Source organism: Homo sapiens, chromosome 15 (genome assembly GCF_000001405.40).
Source record: "Homo sapiens chromosome 15, GRCh38.p14 Primary Assembly".
Lineage (NCBI taxonomy): Eukaryota > Metazoa > Chordata > Mammalia > Primates > Hominidae > Homo > Homo sapiens.
Window position 1 is genome coordinate 40,697,588 of NC_000015.10, and position 20,985 is coordinate 40,718,572.

A 20,985-nucleotide genomic window follows, 5' to 3' on the forward strand; every position below is an offset into this window, starting at 1 on the left:
TTTTTTTTGAGACGGAGTCTCACTCTGTCGCCCAGGCTGGAGTGCAGTGGCGCGATCTTGGCTCACTGCAAGCTCCGCCTCCTGGGTTCACGCCATTCTCCTGTCTCAGCCTGCCACCACGCCCAGCTAATTTTTTGTATTTTTTAGTAGAGACAGGGTTTCACCATGTTAGCCAGGATGGTCTCGATCTCCTGACCTGGTGATCCACCCGCCTTGGCCTCCCAAAGTGCTGGGATTACAGGCGTGAGCCACTCCACCTGGCCCAAGATGATATTTCAATACATATATACATTGTATAATGAATGATCAAATCAGGGTAATCAGCATATCCATCAGTTCACTTAAACACTTGTCATTTCTCTTTGTGATGAGAACATTCAAAATACTCGCTTCTGGCTATTTTGAAGTATACATTACATTAGTGTTTACTGTAGTCACCCTACTGTGAAATAGAACCCTAGAACTTATTCCTCCTATCTAACTGAAACTTTGTGCCTGTTGACCAACCTCTCTCCTTCCTGCCGCCCCCTGCAACAGCTGCATTCTCCTCAGTCTCTGGTTACCACTGTTCTATTTGTTCCTTGTATGAGATGAACTTTTTTTTTTTTGTTTTTTTTTTTGAGACACAGTCTCACTCTGTCATGAGGCTGGAGTACAGTGGCACGATCTCGGCTCACTGCGATCTCTGTCTTCCGGGTTGAAGCCATTTACCTGCCTCAGCCTCCCGAGTAGCTGGGACTACAGGCGTGTGCCACCACACCCTGCTAATATTTGTATTTTTAGTAGGGACGGGGTTTCGCATGTTGGCCGGGATGGTCTTGATCTCCTGACCTGGTGATCTGCCCGCCTCGGCCTCCCAAAGTGCTGGGATCACAGGCATGAGCCACCGCGCCCCGCCAAGATCAACTTTTTTAGATTCTACATATGAGTGAGATCATGCAGTATTTGTCTGCAAACACATTTATAATGTATAATGGGGTATATAAAAATAAGTAAAACTTGGCCCCTACACTGAAGGAATATAAAGCAGGAGAACAGAGAGGCACAATAAGAGAATGGCCTTGGCTTTTCCTAAAGTCTTTTTGATACGACTAGCTAGATAGAAGATGGGGAGAGAGATGCACCTTATTTCTCTAGTGTTTATACTGATAAGCATTTGTATTTTTCAGTAATGGCAATGCAGATGCAGCTTGAAGCAAATGCAGATACTTCAGTGGAAGAAGAAAGCTTTGGCCCACAACCCATTTCACGGTTAGAGGTATGTGGTTAGTTGCTAATTTTGGAATTATATACTAGATTCTTCTACCTAGTGGAAGGTATTACAACCTTTACATAAAATATAGGTTTACTACCAAGGTCAAGACCCAAATTAGACTTTTCAGAAGTGTTGTCAATAATCCTGTGGAAAGGCTGCAGATCATTGCTAAATATGTCTGGCAGGGCCTCTTCCTTTGTCAACAATTCTCTTCCTACTTTATCATTTTTATTTCTGAGAGTTGGACTGTCAGAAACTAAGGCCTAGGATCCCATGGTGGAATCTCTGTGCTGTTTTTGTTTGTTTGTTTGTTTGTTTTTGATGGAGTTTCGCTCTTGTTGCCCAGGCTGGAGTGCAATGGCGTGATCTCGGCTCACCGCAACCTCTGCGTCCCAGGTTCAAGCGATTCTCCTGCCTCAGCCTCCCAAGTAGCTGGAATTACAGGCATGAGCCACCACACCCAGCTAATTTTATATTTTTAGTAGAGACAGGGTTTCTCCATGTTGGTCAGGCTAGTCTCGAACTCCTGACCTCAGGTGATCCACCCTCTTTGGCCTCCCAAAGTGCTGGGATTACAGGCATGGGCCACTGCGCCCAGCCTGTGCTGTTTTTTTGTTTGTTTTTTAAGAAATGGGTCTTAACTGTGTTGACCATGTTGATCTTGAACTCCTGGCCTCAAGCAGTCCACCTGCCTTGGCGTCCCAAACTGCTAGGATTACAGGCATGAGCCACCATGCCTGGCCAAAGCATCCTGTGCTATTTGCACTAAGTATGAAAGTGCTGTTCTGGGAATTATAGCGGCCTGGACCAGTTATGCAAGGAAGACAGGGAAGCACCTTCTCTCCATTAACCTAGATTTGTGCTGTCAGCTGTCATTGGCAGAGAGAAGGGTGTGGTGGTGTTATGGTATAAGAGACAAGCTCCAATTCAGGATTCTGCACAAGAACATTAAGCACCAGAGCTGAGGCCTTACACTATTTCTGCCCATTGTATAGAGACTGCCCTGTGAGTGCAGCTGATTTGGGCTAAGTAGGAGGAAAGCAGAGAAAGACTTGATTCTTCTGTCTCTTTTTTTCATATTTCCCATCTCTGACTAATCTTCAAGACTCTAGAAGTTAGGAGTGCAAAAGGCTAATAAAAAAAAAAGACTCTAGAAGTTACTTAAATGGATTTGTGATAAACATTTGAAAGTTCAGAGTCATAACTTCTGGTGCCATGAGCATCCTTATACTCAAACATGCATATTGCTTAAATATTAATAGCAGACATGGCTTATGTTGGCAAACTAATCTCTCCCCTCTTCTAAATTCTCCCAACCCCTGAATGCACCCACATTCACCTACTAACTCATGTTTTCCCAGAAGTCATGGTTTTGGTGGCTAATGAAACCAAAGCTGACTTGAATATAGGAAGAAAGAGGTGTCTTTGGGTGGTTTGTTTTGAGAAGAGGTATAAAAGTCCCTGACAAAAAGTAGTTTTCCTCACTGTTAATGTCAGTTGTTAGAGCAGAGCTTTCTGGTCATTGTTCAACAAAAAGTATTGACAGGCCAAGATAGTGCTCTTTATATTCTGAGCAGCCTTATCTATTTACCCTACCATAGTGTAAAAATACAGTTTTTTATGTGTGCTTGATGTGGAAAGTGTTGAGCAACACTGTCTTAAAGTGGTCTTGTAGGGCCCAAGGTCTCAGAGATCATTTAGGGTCACAAAAAAAGGTTGGGAGTTACTTTTTAATTCCAATTGCTAATAGGAGTTCTTTTTAATGTACATGGCTTAGTGCTAGTTTAAAATTATTGATTTTGATAATGAAAAGGTTGTTAATTTGTTATTAAGTACCTCATATATAGGGCTCATTTTTCAGCTTTTGCATATAATAACAGTAGGCTCTCTGTATCTCCGGATTCTGTATCAGCAAATTCAACAAACTACGTATCAAAAATTCAATCAACTACATATCAAAAAAAAGTATACAGGAGGATGTACATAGGTTATATGCAGGTAATACGCCATTTTATATAAGGGACTTGAGCATTGTTGGATTTTGTTATCTGCTGGGGGTCCTGGAACCAACTTCCCATCTCCCCCCGCCCCCCCAAGGATTTCAAGGGACAGTTGTATTACAAGTCTTCAAGCACCTCTGTGAAGTATGTAGGACACATAACATCTGTGTTAGATTAGAGAACTAAAGCTTAAATTTATCCATGGTTTTCTTCATTTGCAGCAGTGTGGCATAAATGCCAACGATGTGAAGAAATTGGAAGAAGCTGGATTCCATACTGTGGAGGCTGTTGCCTATGCGCCAAAGAAGGAGCTAATAAATATTAAGGGAATTAGTGAAGCCAAAGCTGATAAAATTCTGGTAAGTACTGCTTACTTAACCTAGGGAGGCATTAGTGGGAATAGTACAAAAGGGAATGTAGTGAAAGACTTCTTCCTTCTATCTCTTATTCTTCGGTCATCTCATTATCCTTTCCAGGGGTGACTGTTACCTGTTTCTTTTCTTCTTTTCTTTTCTTTTCTTTTTTTTTTCTTTCTTTTTTTTTTTTTTTGGAGACGGGTTCTCGCTCTGTCACACAGGGTGGAGTGCAGTGGTGCCATCTCAGCTCACTGCAACCTTCACCTCCCAAGCTCAAGCGATCCTCTCACCTCAGCCTCCCAAGTAGCTGGGACTACACTACAGGCACATGCCACCATGCCGGGGTAGTCTCGAACTCCTGAGCTCAGGCGATTCACCTACCTCAGCCTCCCAAAGTGCTGGATTATAGGTGTGAGCTACTGTGCCTGGCCTATTTATTTTTCTAGCTTCATATAGTTCTTTAACATACATACTTCCCCATGGTTACATTTTGTTTTATGAACCTATTTCTTCAGTGTTTATATAGTTACACAGTTTTATTGCCTTTACCCTTGAAGTTTTATGTAGTATAAAGCAGATTTTTTTTTTTTTTTTTTTTTTTTTTGAGACGGAGTCTCGCTCTGTTGCCAGGCTGGAGTGCAATAGCGTGATCTTGGTCTACTGCACCCTCCGCCTCTCAGGTTCAAGTGATTCTCCTGCCTCAGCCTCCCGAGTAGTTGGGACTACAGGTATGTGCCACCACACCCAGCTAATTTTTGTATTTTTATTAGAGACAGGGTTTCACCACGTTGGCCAGGATGGTCTCGATCTCCTGACCTTGTGATCTGCCCACCTCAGCCTCCTAAAGTGCTGGGATTACAGGTGTGAGCCACCGCGCCCCACCGCAAATATTTATTTATAAAATTGTATTTTCACGTATCGATTACTGTTAGCGTTAGATAAATTTATTGGATTACTCAAATGAATATTTGCTGAAGTGGTTGCTTAATTGGAAATAAGGGTTCTGAGTCCCTAACAGTATTTTTGTTAAAAGATTGTCATATTGACTAAGCCAGTAGGGGTCCCTAAAGTCTTTCTGTTTTCGCTTTTTGGGTATCAGTTTTTGTGAATGAACAAATGCTGACAGGATCTTTTCTTTTTGCCTTGCGAGATCTTGGTTTCAGAAATCAAGTCACTTCTCTGTTTCTATGAACACAACAATGCAAACCTAGAATACATGATTTGAGATGCAATATGGTATAGACTTACGTGTCTTTACTTTTCAATATTTTATGTTCTTTGTTTCTGGCCAGTAAAGATTATGATTGTATTGTTTGTTTTCTGTTTTTTTTTGAGGCAGAGTGTCGCTGTGTCACCCAGGCTGGAGCACAATGGTGCAATTTTGGCTCTGCTCACTGCAACCTCTGCCTTCCGGGTTCAAGTGATTGTCGTGCCTCAGCCTCCCAAGTAGCTGGGATTACAGGCTCCCACCACCACACGTGGCTAATTTTTGTATTTTCAGTTGAGACGGGGTTTCACCATGTTGCCCAGGCTGGTCTCAAACTCCTGGCCTCAAGCAATCTGCCCACCTCAGCCTCCCAAAGTGCTGAAATTACAGGCACTAGCCACTGTGCCCACCTTTTTTTTTTTTTTTTAAAGAAAAAAAAGAAAAGTCTCACTCTGTTGCCCAGGCTGGAGTGCAGTGGCATGATCAAAGCTCACTGCAGCTTCAGCTTCAAACTCCTGGGCTCAAGGAATTCTCAGCCTGCTGAGTAGCTGGGACTATAGGCACATGCCACTAGCCTGACCATTTCTACCAGTTTTGTCTTTGCTAATACATTCTCCTGTTTTTCACCAAAGGAAGTAGTCTATATTCCTTGAGCTCCCATGGCTTGTTAGTACTTCTCATATTACCCATCACATCTACTTGTACTATAGTTATTTTGTATAGTTTATCTTTCTGATTAAGTTATAAGCTCTGTGGAGGCAGGAATCAGCTCTTCTTTTTCTCCATATCCTTCAGAGTCCCTGGGACTATGTTTCATACGAAGTAAGTGTCTAGTACATGTTTGTTGCACTGAAATGACAGTGAGTATATGAATTGGCCAGGCTGGTCTCAAAATCCTGGCCTCAGGTAATCCGCCCATCTCAGTATCCCAAAGTGCTGGGATTACAGGCGTGAGCCACTGCACCTGGCCGTGCAATGAATTTTTAAATGAAATATTAAGTATATAGAAAAGTTTAGAGAATAAACTTTCATTGATTTTTCAGCTATTTGTTGATTTTTTTTCTTCATGGGAAATTTAAACATTATGAAAGTTTAATCTTTTTACTTTCTATGGGTCTATTTAGATTTTCTTCTTGAGTGAGTTTTGGTAGTTTATCTTTCTAAGAATTTGCTTATTTCATCTAAGTTACCTAACTTGTTGACATAGAGATGCTCACAGGGTTTCCTTATACTACTTTTTATTTACATAAAGTCAGTAGTAATGTCCCCTCTTTCATTCTTGATTTTAGTAATTTGAGTCTTTTCTCTTTTTTTCTCGGGCAATGCAGCTAAAAGTTTGTCAATTTTGTTGATATTTTCAAAGAACCAGCTTTTGGTTTCATTGATTTTTCTCTATTATTCTGCCCTCTACTTAATAGTTTCTACCCTAACCTGTATTATTTCCATCTTTCTGCTTGCTTTGTTTTGTTTGCTTTTCTTTGGAAGGTTAGGTTATGATTTATCTTTTTTATTTTTAGAGGCAGAGTCTTGTTCTGTCACTTACGTTGGAGTGCAGTGGTGTGATCATAGCTCACTGCAGCCTCCAACTCCTGGCTCAAACAAACCTTCTGCCTCAGCCTCCCAGGTAACTAGGACCACAGGCACGCCCCACCATGCCCTGCTATTTATTTTATTTTATTTTATTTTTGAGACGGAGTCTCCCTCTGTGCCCAGGCTGGAGTGCAGTGGCGTGATCTCTGCTCACTGCAACCTCTGCCTCTTGGGTTCAAGCGATTCTCCTGCCTCAGCCTCCTGAGTGGCTGGGATTACAGGCACGTGCCGCCATGCCCAGCTAATTTTTAGTAGAGACAGGGTTTCACCGTGTTAGCCAGGATGGTCTTGATCTCCTGACCTCATGATCTGCCTGCCTCAGCCTCCCAAAGTGCTGGGATTACAGTCGTGAGCCACCGCGCCAGGCCTTTTTTTTTTTTTTTTCTGATGCAGTCTCACTCTCTTGCCCAGGCTGGAGTGCGGTGGTGTGATCTCGGCTCACTGCAACCTCCGCCGCCCGGGTTCAAGCAGTTCTCCTGTTTCAGCCTCCTGAGTAGTTGGGACTACAGGCGCACGCCACCACGCCCAGCTATTTTTTGTATTTTTAGTAGAAATGGGGTTTCACCATATTGGGCAGGCTGGTCTTGAACTCCTGACTTCGTGATCTGCCCACCTCACCCTACCAAAGTGCTGGGATTCAGGCATGAGCCACCATGCCCAGCCATGCCCTACTAATTTTTTTTTTTTTTTTTGAGATGGAATCTCGCTGTGTCTCTCAGGCTGGAGTGCAGTGGTGCAAATTCAGCTCACTGCAACCTCCGCCTCCCAGATTCAAGTGATTCTTCCACCTCAGCCTCCCGAGTAGCTGGGACTACAGGCGCGTGCCACCACGCCCGGCTAATTTTTGTATTTTTAGTAGAGAGGAAGTTTCACCATGTTGGTCAGGCTGGTCTTGAACTCCTGACCTTGTGATCTGCCCACCTCAGCCTCCCAAAGTTCTGAGATTACAGAGGTGAGCCACCACACCCAGCCACCCTGCTAATTTTAAAACATTTTTAGAGCCAGGGTGCTGCTTTGTTACTCAGGCTGGTCTCAAACTCCTGGCTTCCAGCAGTCCTCCCACCTCAGCCTCCCAAAGTGCTGGGATTACAGGTGTGATTCACCACACCCAGCCTTCTTTTCTAATATAGCTGTTTATAGCTATGAATTTCTCTCTAAGCACTGCTTTTCTTGGAGCCCATACGTTTTGGTATATCTTCGTTTTCATTCATTGCAAAAACATTTTCTGATTTCCCTTGTCATTTCTTCTTTGACTTGTTGCTTATTTAGGAGTGTGTTGCTTTATTTTTGCATATTTGTGAATGCACTTACTTTTCAATTTTAGAATCAACCCATAGTGCTATTACAGAACACTTATCTGTAATTACAAAATAGAATGTGAATGTTCTCAGCCAGACAATATGAAAGAAAAGGTACAGCTGATAGAGGTGGGGAAGTAGCCATGGAGAGAGAAAAGATTGAAGGGCAAATGTCCTCATTTTTACAAAGTAGGAAGTTAAGGGATACAGTCTGCGGTTGATGGAGCAGGAAATGAAGGTGTACTGTATTGTCATTTTTGTCATAAATTGGGCAAAACACATATGTACGGATCTCTAATAGTTTTTTGTTTTGTTTTGTTTTGTTTTTTGAGACAGAGTCTCGCTCTGTCCCCCAGGCTGGAGTACAGTGGCGCGATCTCGGCTCACTGCAAGCTCCGCCTCCCGGGTTCACGCCTTTCTCCTGCCTCAGCCTACCAAGTAGCTGGGACTTCAGGCACCCGCCACCACGCCCGACTAATTTTTTGTATTTTTTTAGTAGAGATGGGGTTTCACCATGTTAGCCAGGATGGTCTCGATCTCCTGACGTTGTGATCCGCCTGCCTTGGCCTTCCAAAGTGCTGGGATTACAGGCGTGAGCCATCGCACCCGGCCGGATCTATAATAGTTTTTAAAACTATATTAATATATTAACTTGAATTGGCAATTTAAAAATTGATCTTCATGGAATCTCTGAATTAGATTATCCTTTTTTATGACTTTCTAAAGAGAAATCATCCTGGTAATTTTATTTGATATTTTCTCTTCCCATTGCACACCTTGTTTTACTAATATTTCTTTTTTCTTTATATATATTTTTTTGCCATCAAGATCACTGTGGTAAGGAATATTATTTTGTTGATTTAATATTTCTTATTTTTCCCAGGCTGAGGCAGCTAAATTAGTTCCAATGGGTTTCACCACTGCAACTGAATTCCACCAAAGGCGGTCAGAGATCATACAGATTACTACTGGCTCCAAAGAGCTTGACAAACTACTTCAAGGTGTAGTAATCCTTTATCCTGTGTTGTGAACTCTAGTTAGGAAAGCTTCCAGGTTATAAAACAAAACTGAAATATTTGTGTAGCATTTCCTTGTTAGATAATGATAAAGAGATAGAGGAAGGCCAGGTGCAGTGGCTTATGCCTGTAATCTCAGCACTTTGGGAGGCTGAGGTGGGCAGATCACCTGAGGCTGGGAGTTCGAGACCAGCCCAGCCAACATGGAGAAACCTATTAAAAATACAAAATTAGTTGGGCATGGTGGCACATGCCTGTAATCCCTGTAGGTGCACATGCCTACTCGGGAGGCAGAGGCAGGAGAATCACTTGAACCCGGAAGACGGAGGTTGCTGTGAGCCAAGATTGTGCCACTGCACTCCAGCCTGGGTGACGAGCAAAACTCTGTCTCAAAAACAAAGAGAGATAAAGGAAGTATCCACATTGAAGAGGTAAGACTGCTGCAAGGTAGGACCTTATTTATAAAATACTAAACTTATCTGCAAATTAAATAATTTAGTCTCCATTTAATATTGTGTTAAGAGAGTAAGCTCCTTTTGCTTAAGGAGGTAACTGTAATTATAACCTACTCTACCACAGGGTTGAAAACCTGATGACTGGTTAAAACATTCCATGTTTGAATACTACTCATTGTGTACACACTAATCTTCAGGACTTCAGGGAAAACTATAAAGCTTTTGACCTTATTATTTATTTTTCGAGACAGGGTCTCACTCTGTCACCCAGGCTGGAGTGCAGTGGCATGGTCTCAGCTCACTGCAACCTCTGCTTCCTGGGCTCAAGTGATCTTCTAGCCTCAGTCTCCCCAAGCTAGGACTATGATCATTTACCACCTGGCTAATTTTTTTTTTTTTTTTTTTTTTTTTTGAGTCGGGGCATCACTCATTATGTTGCCCAGGCTGGTCTCAAAATCCTGAGCTCAAGCCATCCTCCTGCCTCAGCCTCCCAAAGTGCTGGGATTATAGGCTTGAGCCACCTTGCCTGGCCCAATGTCAGTTTTCTTTCCCTTTTTTTTGAGACAGAGTCTCACTCTGTTACCCAGGCTGGAGTGCAGTGGCATAATCTCAGCTCACTGCAACCTCCGCCTCCTGGGTTCAAGTGATTCTCCTGCCTCAGCCTCCCAAGTAGCTGGGACTACAGGCAAGTGCCACCATGCCCAGCTAATTTTTGTATTTTTAGTAGAGATGAGGTTTCACCACGTTGGCTAGGTTGGTCTCGAACTCCTGACCTCAGATGATCTACCCGCCTCAGCCTCCCAAAGTGCTGGGCTTACAGGCGTGAGCCATCATGCCTGGCCCCCAATGTCAGTTTTCTAATATCAGTGCTATACTATCATTATGCAAGAGGTTAACACTGCAGAAGGCTAGGTGCATAGAAATTTCGTATGTTTTTTTTTGTTGTTGTTGGTTTGTTTGTTTGTTTTTTAAAGACAGAGTCTTGCTCTGTTGCCCAGGCTAGAATGCAGTGGCACAATCTCGGCTCATTGCAACCACTGACTCCCAGGTTTGAGCAGTTCTCCTGCCTCAGTCTCCTGAGTAGCTGCAATGACAGGCACCCGCCACCGTGCCTGGCTAATTTTTGTATTTTTAGTAGAGACGGGATTTCACCGTCTTGGCCAGGCTGGTCTCAAAGTCCTGACCTCCTGATCCATCCACCTCGGCCTCCCAAAGTGCTGGGATTACAGGCATGAGCCACTGTGCCCAGCTTTTTTTTTTTTTTTTTTTTTTGAGATGGGGTCTTGCTATGTCACCCCGGCTGGAGTGCAGTGGCATGATCTTGGCTCACTGCCACTTCCGCCCCCAGGTTCAAGCTATTCTTCTGCCTCCGCCTCCCGAGTAGCTGGGACTACAGGCATGCACCACCATGCCCAGCTAATTTTTGTATTTTTAGTAGAGACAGGGTTTCACCATATTGTGCCCAGCTTTTTTTTTTTTTTTTTTGAGGAGTCTCACTTTGTCACCCAGGCTGGAGTGCAGTGGCGTGATCTCGGCTTGCTGCAGCCTCCGCCTCCCAGGTTCAAGTGATTCTCCTGCTTCAGCCTGCTAGTAGCTGGGATTACAGGTGCCCATCACCAGTTCCAGCTAAGTTTTGTATTTTTAGTAGACATGAGGTTTCACCATGTTGGCCAGGCTGGTCTCGAGCTCCTGACCTCAGGTGATCAGCCCGCCTCGGCCCCCTAAAGTGCTGGGATTACAGGTGTGAGCCACCGCACCTGGCCTTATTTGCAGCTATCTATAAATCTAATTATTTCAAAATACTTTTGGTTTATTTGTTTGTTTGTTTGTTTGTTTTGAAACAGGGTCTCACTGTGTCACCCAGGCTAGAGTGCACTGGCACGATTTTGGCTCACTGCAACTTCTGCCTCCCAGGCTCAAGTGATCCTCTCACCTTAGCTCCTGAGTAGCTGGTACTACAGGCATCCGCCACCATGCCCGGCTAATTTTTGTAGAGACAGGGCTTCACCATGTTGCCCAGGCTGGTCTCGAACTCCTGAACTCAAGCAATCCACCCACCTAAGCTTCCTAAAGTGCTGGGATTACAGGCATGAGCCACCACGGCTAGCCTCAAAATACATTTGTGAAAAATTATCGCTTGTTGGAAATTGAATTTTTAACTTACATAAACATCTTTCTGATGAGCTCCAAGAACATTTCTATGACTACAGTTTCTACATGTTTGTATTATGCTAAGAGTTATTTCTTATCGCTTTTTTAGGTGGAATTGAGACTGGATCTATCACAGAAATGTTTGGAGAATTCCGAACTGGGAAGACCCAGATCTGTCATACGCTAGCTGTCACCTGCCAGGTGAGCTGTTGGGGCTATAGCTAATCAAATAAGCAAGCATTACTTCATTCCTGCTATTTGCAAGCATCTGTTAGGATGGCCATAAAAGGTACTTTCTCTGTCCTCAAGAATCTTATAGCTGTTAATAGTTAGAAGATAGACTCCTACTTCAAAATCCTTCCATGTCATAGAAACTTCCAAATCATTGATCTCCTATCAGATACGTTAATTTCAAATACTTTTGCTACCAGGCCTTTTCCTGGCTTTACTTGCTACTTTTTTTTTTTTTTTTTTTTTTTGAGGCAGAATCTCGCTGTGTCGCCCAGGCTGAAGTACAGTGGTGTGATCTCAGCTCACTGCAACCTCCTCTCTGGTTCAAGTGATTCTCCTTCATCAACCTCCCGAGTACCTGGGATTACAGGCGCCCACCAGCATGCCCGGCTAATTTTTGTGTTTTTAGTAGAGAGGGGGTTTCACCATGTTGGCCAGGCTCCTCTTGAACTCCTGATCTCAAGTGATCCACCCACCTTGGCCTCCCAAGTGCTGGAATTATAGGCGTAAGCCACTGCGCCCAGCCCTCCATCTTCTTCATTAGTCTAGATTTTATGATTCATCATTAAAGTAATTCTCTTGCAGATAGCCTCAGTTTACATACCCACTTGAAGAGATGCCAACCTTAGATGAAACTCATCTATCTTCTCAGTGTCTGTACCCAAATAGCTGATTATACTGGAGAAAAATCGTATCATACAGCTGACTGACTTCACTTTAAATTCAAGATGACAGGCCAGGCACGGTGGCTCACGCCTGTAATCCCAGTACTTTGGGAGGCCGAGGCGGGTGGATCACTTGAGATCAAGAGTTTGGCTGGGCGCGGTGACTCACGCCTGTAATCCCAGCACTTTGGGAGGCCGAGGTGGGCGGATCACAAGGTCAGGAGATTGAGACCATCCTGGCTAACACAGTGAAACCCCATCTCTACTAAAAATACAAAAAATTAGTTGGGCGTGGTGGCGGGTGCCTGTAGTCCCAGCTACTTGGGAGGCTGAGGCAGGAGAATGGCGTGAACCCGGGAGGCACAGCTTGCAGTGAGCCGAGATTGCGCCACTGCACTCCAGCCTGGGCGACAGAGCGAGACTCTGTCTCAAAAAAAAAAAAAAAAAAAAAAAAAAAAAGAAGAAGAAAAAAAAAAGATCAGGAGTTCAAGACCAGCCTGGCCAACATGGTGAAACCCTGTCTCTACTAAAAATACAAAAATTAGCTGGGCGTGTTGGCACGTGCCTGTAATCCCAGTTACTTGGGAGACTGAGGCAGGAGAATCGCTTGAACCCGGGGGGCAGAGGTTGCAGGGAGCTGAGATCGCACCATTGCATTCCAGCCTGGTCAAAGAAGCGAGACTCTGTCTCAAAAAAAAAAAAAAAAAAAAAAAGAATGAAAAAAGGAAAAAAATTCAAGATGACAAAACTTTAGATTAACATTCAAAACTTCTTGGCAGTCTACTTTCTCCATTTAGGTGTACTTTCCCACTGAGTTAGACAGGCATCTCATATCTCATACTTCGTCTTCTGTTATCAGAACTTTATGCTCCTCTTCAACTCTCATTCTTAGCCAAAAACCTAACCTGCTCTTTGCATCAAATCTACATTTGTGCCCATCTTTTCTTATCTCAGGTTACAATTGAGAAAGTGTCCCTTTTCTTCTCAAAGGCCCATTCTATCAATATGATTTGGTTACCATCTCCTGCCACCTTCTCAAGGACTCTACTCCTTCCATTTTCTCTTGTACCTCTCTATGAGATTATCCTCATCAGTATACAAATATGTCTAGTGTCTCCTCCATTAGGAAAAAACCTTCCCTGGACCCCTTCAGTTTCTTTTTCCTTTACTTATGCTCCTATTGGTGGGAAGATTTGGAAATAGACACAGTAGGTTAAATAATTGCCCAATACATTGTATTTAAGTAGCAAATACTGGACTCAAACCAGACTTCAGAGATGATGTTCTTAAAACTTCATAAGAGGCCAGCATGGTGTTTCATGCCTGTAATCCCAGTACTTTGGGAAGCCAAAGTGGGAGGATTGCTTGAGACCAGGAATTTGAGACCAGCCTGGGCAACATAGTGAGACCCTGTTTCTGAGATGCCATTTCTAAAAACAAACAAACAAAAACAGACAATTAAAAATATTAGCCCAGCATGATGATGTGTACCTGTGGTCCTAGCTACTCAGGAGGCTGAGGTGGTAGAATCTCTTGAGCCCAAGAGGTCGAGGCTCCAGTGACTGGGATCGTGCCACTGCATGTTTTCTGCTGTATTGCTAGTGCCTAAGGCAGTGTTTGGCTCTCAGTAAACAATAAATGCTTGAATGAGTGGAGATAATAGATGTCCAAAAACATGCCTGATATATAAAATGAATGTCACAGAGGAAATGGGTTAGCTGTTTAAGGAATAGAAAGGGGTAATTTCACCCTAGAGTGATCATGGAATACTTTATGGAGAAAAGATTTTGGACCAGACTTCTGAAGAATGCTAAATTTGGGAAGGAAGGAAATTAAAAGCATTTAACTGTATAGAATGGGATGAACAGAGGATGGGAAGGCATAAGTTAGAAGGAAAAGACAATAAATAAGCAAGGTCATTTAACTGGTTTAGAGTTTGTGTAGAAAAGTTGTAGGAGATGACCCTTAAAAAGATACATCAAACTGGGCATGATAGCTCACACCTGTAATCCCAGCACTTTGGGAGGCCACGGTGGGTGGATCGCTTGAGCTCAGGAGTTTGAGACCAGCCTGGGCAACATGGCAAGACCCTATCTCTACAAATAATATAAAAATTAGCCAGACGTGGGCTGTGCCTGTAGTGGCAGCTACTTGGGAGGTGGAGGCGGGAGAATCGCTTGAGCCCAGGAGGCCAAGGTTGCCATGAGCCAAGATTGTACCACTGCTCTCCAGCCTGGGCAACAGAGCAAGATTTTGTCTCCATCTCAAAAAAAAAAAAAAAATTAAGATCCTATTTCAGAAGGTTAAGAAGTTTAAACTTGATTTTATGAAGAGTAAGCATTAGCTGGTCAGGAAACTAAGATAGTGACAATAAAGAGAAGTAGGGAAAAGATGTTGTAAAGGGCAGCGCTTGATGACTGACAATAAAAAATACACCTCAGCCCAACAATGTATTACAGTAACTTAGTAAACCTAAAAAGTGTTTGAGAGGGGAAGACAGTTTTGTTGGAAACATGAGTACAGGTTTAGAGATGACAGGTTTGAGGTGACAAACCCCGAGTGAAAATTTCTAGCTGTATTGAGAGATGTGGAACTAAGTCACACAGAGAAGTAAAAATGGAATCTGGAAACGAAAGATCCATGAGAAAGGAAGGGAGTAGGATATAGAAGAGAAAGCTAACAAACTTTCATCTTTTCTGCAACTTCAGGCAGTGTAATGGGGAGCCGTTTTTCCTTGTCTAAGTGAGTCTTAATGTTCTCTGGCTTTAAGGATGTGCTGCATAAGTGGCCAGTCCACAAAGTATCCTTGAACCTGGCCCATGCCCATGGACCAACTCTTCTGTTATAATCTTTTGAAGCTTTATTATAATTTTAGTTATTTTGAAAAACATGGCATTATTTTAATCTAGATAGATTATACCCACTTCTGCCATGGGCACAACTTACTGTTGGAGATCAAAACAACTGAAACAAAATCTGCCTTATATCAGTGTTACAGAAGAGGCTTCCTAGTGTTTTTCTATCCTCGGGACTCAACTCTGTTGAGTTTTTTTTTCTTTTCTTTTCTTTTTTTTTTTTTTTTTTTGAGAAAGAGTCTTGCTCTGTTGCCCAGGCTGTAGTGCAGTGGTGTGATCTTGGCTTGCTGCAACCTCTGCCTCCCAGGTTCAAGCCATTCTCCTGCCTCAGCCTCCCGAATAGCTGGGATTACAGGCATGACGGCCACCACGTCCAGCTAATTTTTGTATTTTTAGTAGAGACGAGGTTTCACCATGTTGGCCAGGCTGGTCTCAAACTCCTGACCTCAAGTTAATCTGCCCGCCTTGGCCTCCCAAAGTGCTGGGATTACAGGAGTGAGCCACCGTGCCTGGCCCAAGTTTATTTAAATTTAACATCAAGTAACCTAGCTTGATAGCCTCCCATTTTTCTTATTTTCCTTTTTTTTTTTTTTTTTATTTGAGACGGAGTCTCTGTCGCCTAGGCAGGAGTGCAGTGGCGCAATCTTGGCTCACTGCAACCTCCATCTCCTGGGTTCAAGCAGTTCTCCAGCCTCAGCCTCCCAAACTGGGATTACAGGTGCCTGCCACCCAACACAGCTAATTTTTTGTATTTTTAGTAGAGACAAGGTCTTGCTGTGTTGGCCAGGCTGGTCTTGAACTCCTGACCTCAGGTGATCCACCCGCCTCAGCCTCCCAAAGTGCTGGGATTACAGGTGTGAGCCACCATGCCCGGCTTTTTGTTGTCATTTTAATTGTTTATTGCTCCACTGATATTTTCTTTGCAGACCAAAATGTTACAATTTTTTTTTTTTTTTTTGAGGCGGAGTCTCATTCTGTCGCCTGGGCTGGAGTGCAGTGGTGCCATCTCTGCTCACTGCAAGCTCCGCCTCCTGGGTTCACGCCATTTTCCTGCCTCAGCCTCCCGAGTAGCTGGGACTACAGGCGCCCGCCACCACGCCTGGCTAATTTTTTGTATTTTTAGTAGAGACAGGTTTTCACCGTATTAGCCAGGATGGTCTCGATCTCCTGACCTTGTGATCCGCCCACCTTGGTCTCTCAAAATGCTGGGATTACAGGTGTGAGCCACCGTGCCTGGCTGGCTGCCATATGTCTTATGAGACAGCCAAGCTAGCATGTCAGTATCGAGTAGACCTAATCCATTGTTAACTCTCCTCAGAAATAAATTCTTTTTTTTTTTTTTTTTTGAGATTGGGTCTCACTATGTTGCACCGGCTGTTCTTGAACTCCTGAGCGCAAGCAATCCTCCAACCTCAGCCTCCCACATAGCTGGGATTACAGGTGAATGCCTCTGCACCCAGATCCTCATAATCATTAGGAAGAAAGAGCTGAGGGGGAGGGGTGGAGGAGGATGCTTAGGAGACCTTTTATGATAATAAGGGAGGAAACATTGAGAAGAGGAAGAGTAAGTTATAGAAGCTATAGCTATTGCGTGAGCTCCATTAGAAATTTGATAGCTAAAGGGAATTAGGGCTGTTTAAAATGTCACTCTTACATCCGTCATTTGACATGATATGTGACCTTTTTAAATAGAAATGTTTTCCCATGTTTTGACAGGGACTTATGTAGAATAAGTATTTAGACTACAGTACATAATATCTATAGTTGCCATGGCAACTCAGCATAGCATGCTGACACTCCAAAGTTGTACAAATAGAATCCTAATCTGAGAATGTTTAAGTAGTCAGATAATGTCTGTCAACAATAAACTAAAGCAAAATTCTCAAGTAAATATAGCCTGTTAAAATAACATTTACAGATGGCTGAACAACTATATAGATCGTTGACTTTTTTTAAAGAAAAAGAATGCTAATTAATTAATAATAGAAAAGATTACATTTCATCAGCCTAAGAGCTGGAACCAGGGATATAGAGAGGATGTTAGACTATTACTTAAATCTAAATATTATCTACTCTCATTTGTTTTCTCAATTTAATGAAGTAAAACCCCATTATATGTTAGGTCTCTCTCTAATAGAAAAGTCATAAAGTTGAGAGCTACAGTTAGGTTACAAAATGAATTAGCCCATGCTTGTTCAAAGTACTGCAGTAGTTTTAAAATTCTGGGCCGGGTATGGTGGCTCATGCTTGTAATTCCAGCACTTTGGGAGGCTGAGGCCGGAGGATTGCTTGAACCCAGGAGTTCCAGACAAGACTGGGGAATATGGCGAGATCCCATTTCAATTAAAAAATAAAAACAGTTCTGAGAAGACAATTTAACATAAGTACCAGTTTTAAAAGCACATGCCCATGCGGGCATGGTGGCTCACGCCTGTAATCCCAGCACTTTGGGAGGCTGAGGTGGATGGATCACAAGGTCAGGAGTTCAAGAACAGCCTGGCCAAGATGGTGCAACCCTGTCTCTACTAAAAATACAAAAATTAGCCAGGCGTGGGGGTGGGCGCCTGTAATCCCAGCTACTTGGGAGGCTGAGGCAGAGAATTGCTTGAACCTGGGAAGTGGAGGTTGCAGTGAGCTGAGATCGTGCCACTGCACTCCAGCCTGGGCAACAGAGTAAGATTCTGTCTCAAAAAAAAACCAAAAACCAAAAAACCACAAAACAAAAAAATCACATACCCTTTGACAGAAAATTTGTCTTACAGAACATTTCACATATATGCAAAGATAAATGTACAAATAATTTATACCAAAGCATAATTAAAATGGTAAAAGTTAGAAACATACTGCATCACTATAAAATGAGAAGTGTTAAATTATGCTCCTAAGCAGTTATTAAGAAGAGCTAACCTGATGGTATCCCAATCCAGTAACAGAAGATGGCTATGATGGCACTGGGAGGGCAAGGTAGAAAGGGCCAAATAAGCTGGAGAACAGAGCATGCAATCCATCCCCATGATCTTACCCTGGGAGCTTGTCCACTATCCTGTTGTCAGTCTACCTACCTATTCCCAATCATCTGTGGCCTTTCCTTTGCCAAGGAAGTCTATTCAATTGGAAAAGAATCCCCTGTCATGTTAGCACTTAATATTACCTGGAGGTAGGAGAAAGGAGAACTTCGTTCATCTTATTTCCTGGGGACTTAGTCCCCAGAGTGTTAATATTTCCTCCTCTCCAAGAAACTGAGGCAGATTCTGCTCTCTGTCCTCTTGGCCACTGGTTCCAAGTCTTTCTTTAGGCATGACCCTCTTTTGTTGTATATGTGTCCTTTGCTCCTTCCATGGATTCCCATGATGTGAGAGATTTTATCTGCCAAATAGTAACGTAATTTTTCCCTTCCAAATTAACAAAGCCTTCCGTAACTGTATACACTAAAGTCAGTGCCCTAAAGGTTGGGAAAATCATGTCTTCAGAGTGTACCGTGCTAAACGCTTTACATGAATTATTTTATTTAGTTTTTAAAACAATCCCATAAGGTCGGTTTTATTTACATTTTACAGAAAAGGAAACAATATTCTCAGTCACATAGTAAGTGGAAGAACCACTTATATAAAAGAAGTATATGAAAATGCATAGAAAATAATCTGGGAAATTATTTCTGGGAGATGGAGAGTGGTGAAGAGCTTTCAGTTTTTTCTCCGCCACTTCCTCTTTTTTTTTTTAGACAAAGTCTCACTCTGTCACCCAAACTGGAGTGCAGTGGCATGATATCGCTCACTGCACCCTCCGCCTCCCAGGTTCAAGTGATTCTTGTGCCCCAGCCTCCCGAGTAGCTGGGATTACAGGTGTGCACCACCACGCCCCACTAATTTTTGTATTTTTAGTAGAGACAGGGTTTCACCATTTTGGCCAGGCTGGTCTCGAACTCCTGACCTCAGGTGATCCACTCGCTGGGATTACAGGTGTGAGCCCCCATGCCTGGCCTCTCTACTTCTTTTTTTTTTTTTTTTTTTTTGAGATGGAATCTCGCTCTGTCACCCAGGCTGGAGTGTAGTGGCACGATCTCGGCTCACTGCAAGCTCTGCCTCCCAGGTTCACGCCATTCTCCTGCCTCAGCCTCCCAAGTAGTTGGGACTACAGGTGGCCGCCACCACGCCCGGCTAATTTTTTGTATTTTTAGTAGAGACAAGGTTTTACCATGTTAGCCAGGATGGTCTCGGTCTCCTGACCTCAGGTGATCCACCTGCTTCGGCCTCCCAAAGTGCTGGGATTACAGGCGTTAGCCACTGCGCCTGGCCTCCGGCCCTCTACTTTTATATTGTTTAGATTTTTAATATAAGCATATAGTTGTTTTGTAATTTCAAAAAAAAATTCTCAAAGATAAGAAAGAAAATTTGGGCTGGGTGCAGTGGCTCACGCCTCCCAGCACTTTGGGAGGCCAAGGTGGGTGAATCACCTTAGGTCAGGAGTTAAAGACCAGCCTGACCAACGTGGAGAAACCCCATTTTTACTAAAAAATGCAAAATTAGCCGGGCGTGGTGGTGCATGCCTGAAATCCCAGCTACTTGGGAGGCTGAGGGAGGAGAATCCCTTGAACCCGGGAGGCAGAGGTTGTGGTGAGGCAAGATCATGCCATTGCACTCCAGCCTGGGCAACAAGAGCGAAACTCCGTCTCAGAAAAAAAAGAAAGAAAAAATTTGGTTCTCCTAGGCCTTTAACATAAAATGTTCTAAAGGATTTTCCTCATAATTTAAATGGGAATTATGACTCCAAAGTAGATTTCTAGAGTAGAAATTACCCTTTAGCATCATTCACTTAAACTTTGTAGAAAAATTCAAAGGTATCTGGTATGGAATGGGTAGTCTAAAGCAGAGATTTCCTTGAGTGGCTCATAAGACAGTTTTCATGGCATTTCATTTACTTCTCTTTTCTTTCCTTTTTGTTTTCTCTTTAAAATTCTTTCTACTTATTTTTCTGTTTTCTCCAATTGTTCATTTTAAACATCTTGTTTATACTATTGGAGTAAATATGTTTTTTTCTTCTTTCTTGCTCACACTCGAAATTTGCTATAGACACTCCGAGGGCATTGACTAGTCCCTTTAGTACCCCTAAAGAATGAACTGCTCAATAAAGTGAAGTATAAGTTTGATATAGACATGCTAAAATTAACTGGGCTTTGGATCATGGCCCATTATTGATTAAAGCTAAGGTAAATGGTCTTCCAAGTTTCTGTACTTTTGAATTGATCAGTCTTGTGTTGGTATGCAGTTCTAGAATTTTATTACTGGCCAGGTGTGGTGGCTCACGCCTGTAATCCCAGCACTTTAAGAGGCCGAGGCGGGCAGATCACTTGAGTCCAGGAGTTCAAGACCAGCCTGGGCAATGTGGCAAAACCCTATCTATAAAAAAATTTAATCGGGTGTGGTGGTGCACACCTATGGTCTCAGCTATTTGGGAGGTGAGATGGGAGGATCTCCAGAGCCCGGAAGGCAGAGGTTGCAGTGAGCCAAGATTGCACCACTGCACTCCAGCCTGGGCGGCGGAGTGAGACCCTGTCTCCAAAACAAAAAAAGGCCAGGTGCAGTGGCTCGTGCCTATAATCCCAACACTTTGGGAGGCCAAGGCAGGCAGATCACCTGAGGTCAGGAGTTCAAGACCAGCCTAGCCAACTTGGTGAAACCCTGTTTCTACTAAAAATACAAAAATTAGCTGGGCGTGGTGGCATGGACCTTTAATCTCAACAACTCAGGAGGCTGAGGCAGGAGAGTTGCTTGAACCCAGGAGGTGGAGGTTGCAGTGAACCGAGATAACGCCACTGCACTCCAGCCTGGGCAACAGTGAGACTATCGCAAGAAAAAAAAAAAAAAGAAGAAAAGAATTTTATTACCTACTTTGGGCTATATTTCTAA

At 43.2% G+C, this 20,985-nt stretch overlaps 1 protein-coding gene across 10 annotated transcripts in view; it reads left to right on the top strand.

Annotated features, from left to right (window-relative positions):
- The window catches only part of RAD51 (RAD51 recombinase), a 37,608-nt gene that overhangs the window by 2,855 nt on the left and 13,768 nt on the right, over positions 1-20,985 (top strand). For 7 of the 10 annotated variants that reach the window (XM_011521857.3, XM_011521861.3, NM_002875.5 and 4 more), the window contains exons 2-5: positions 1,170-1,258; positions 3,477-3,614; positions 8,590-8,707; positions 11,438-11,529. In XM_011521857.3, the coding sequence (XP_011520159.2) occupies positions 1,170-1,258; positions 3,477-3,614; positions 8,590-8,707; positions 11,438-11,529 (437 nt within the window). Of the gene's footprint in view, positions 1-1,169; positions 1,259-3,476; positions 3,615-4,218; positions 4,340-8,589; positions 8,708-11,437; positions 11,530-20,985 lie in introns of those variants that run through there. The other 3 variants (NM_133487.4, NM_001164269.2, XM_047432925.1) reach the window with 2 other exon arrangements.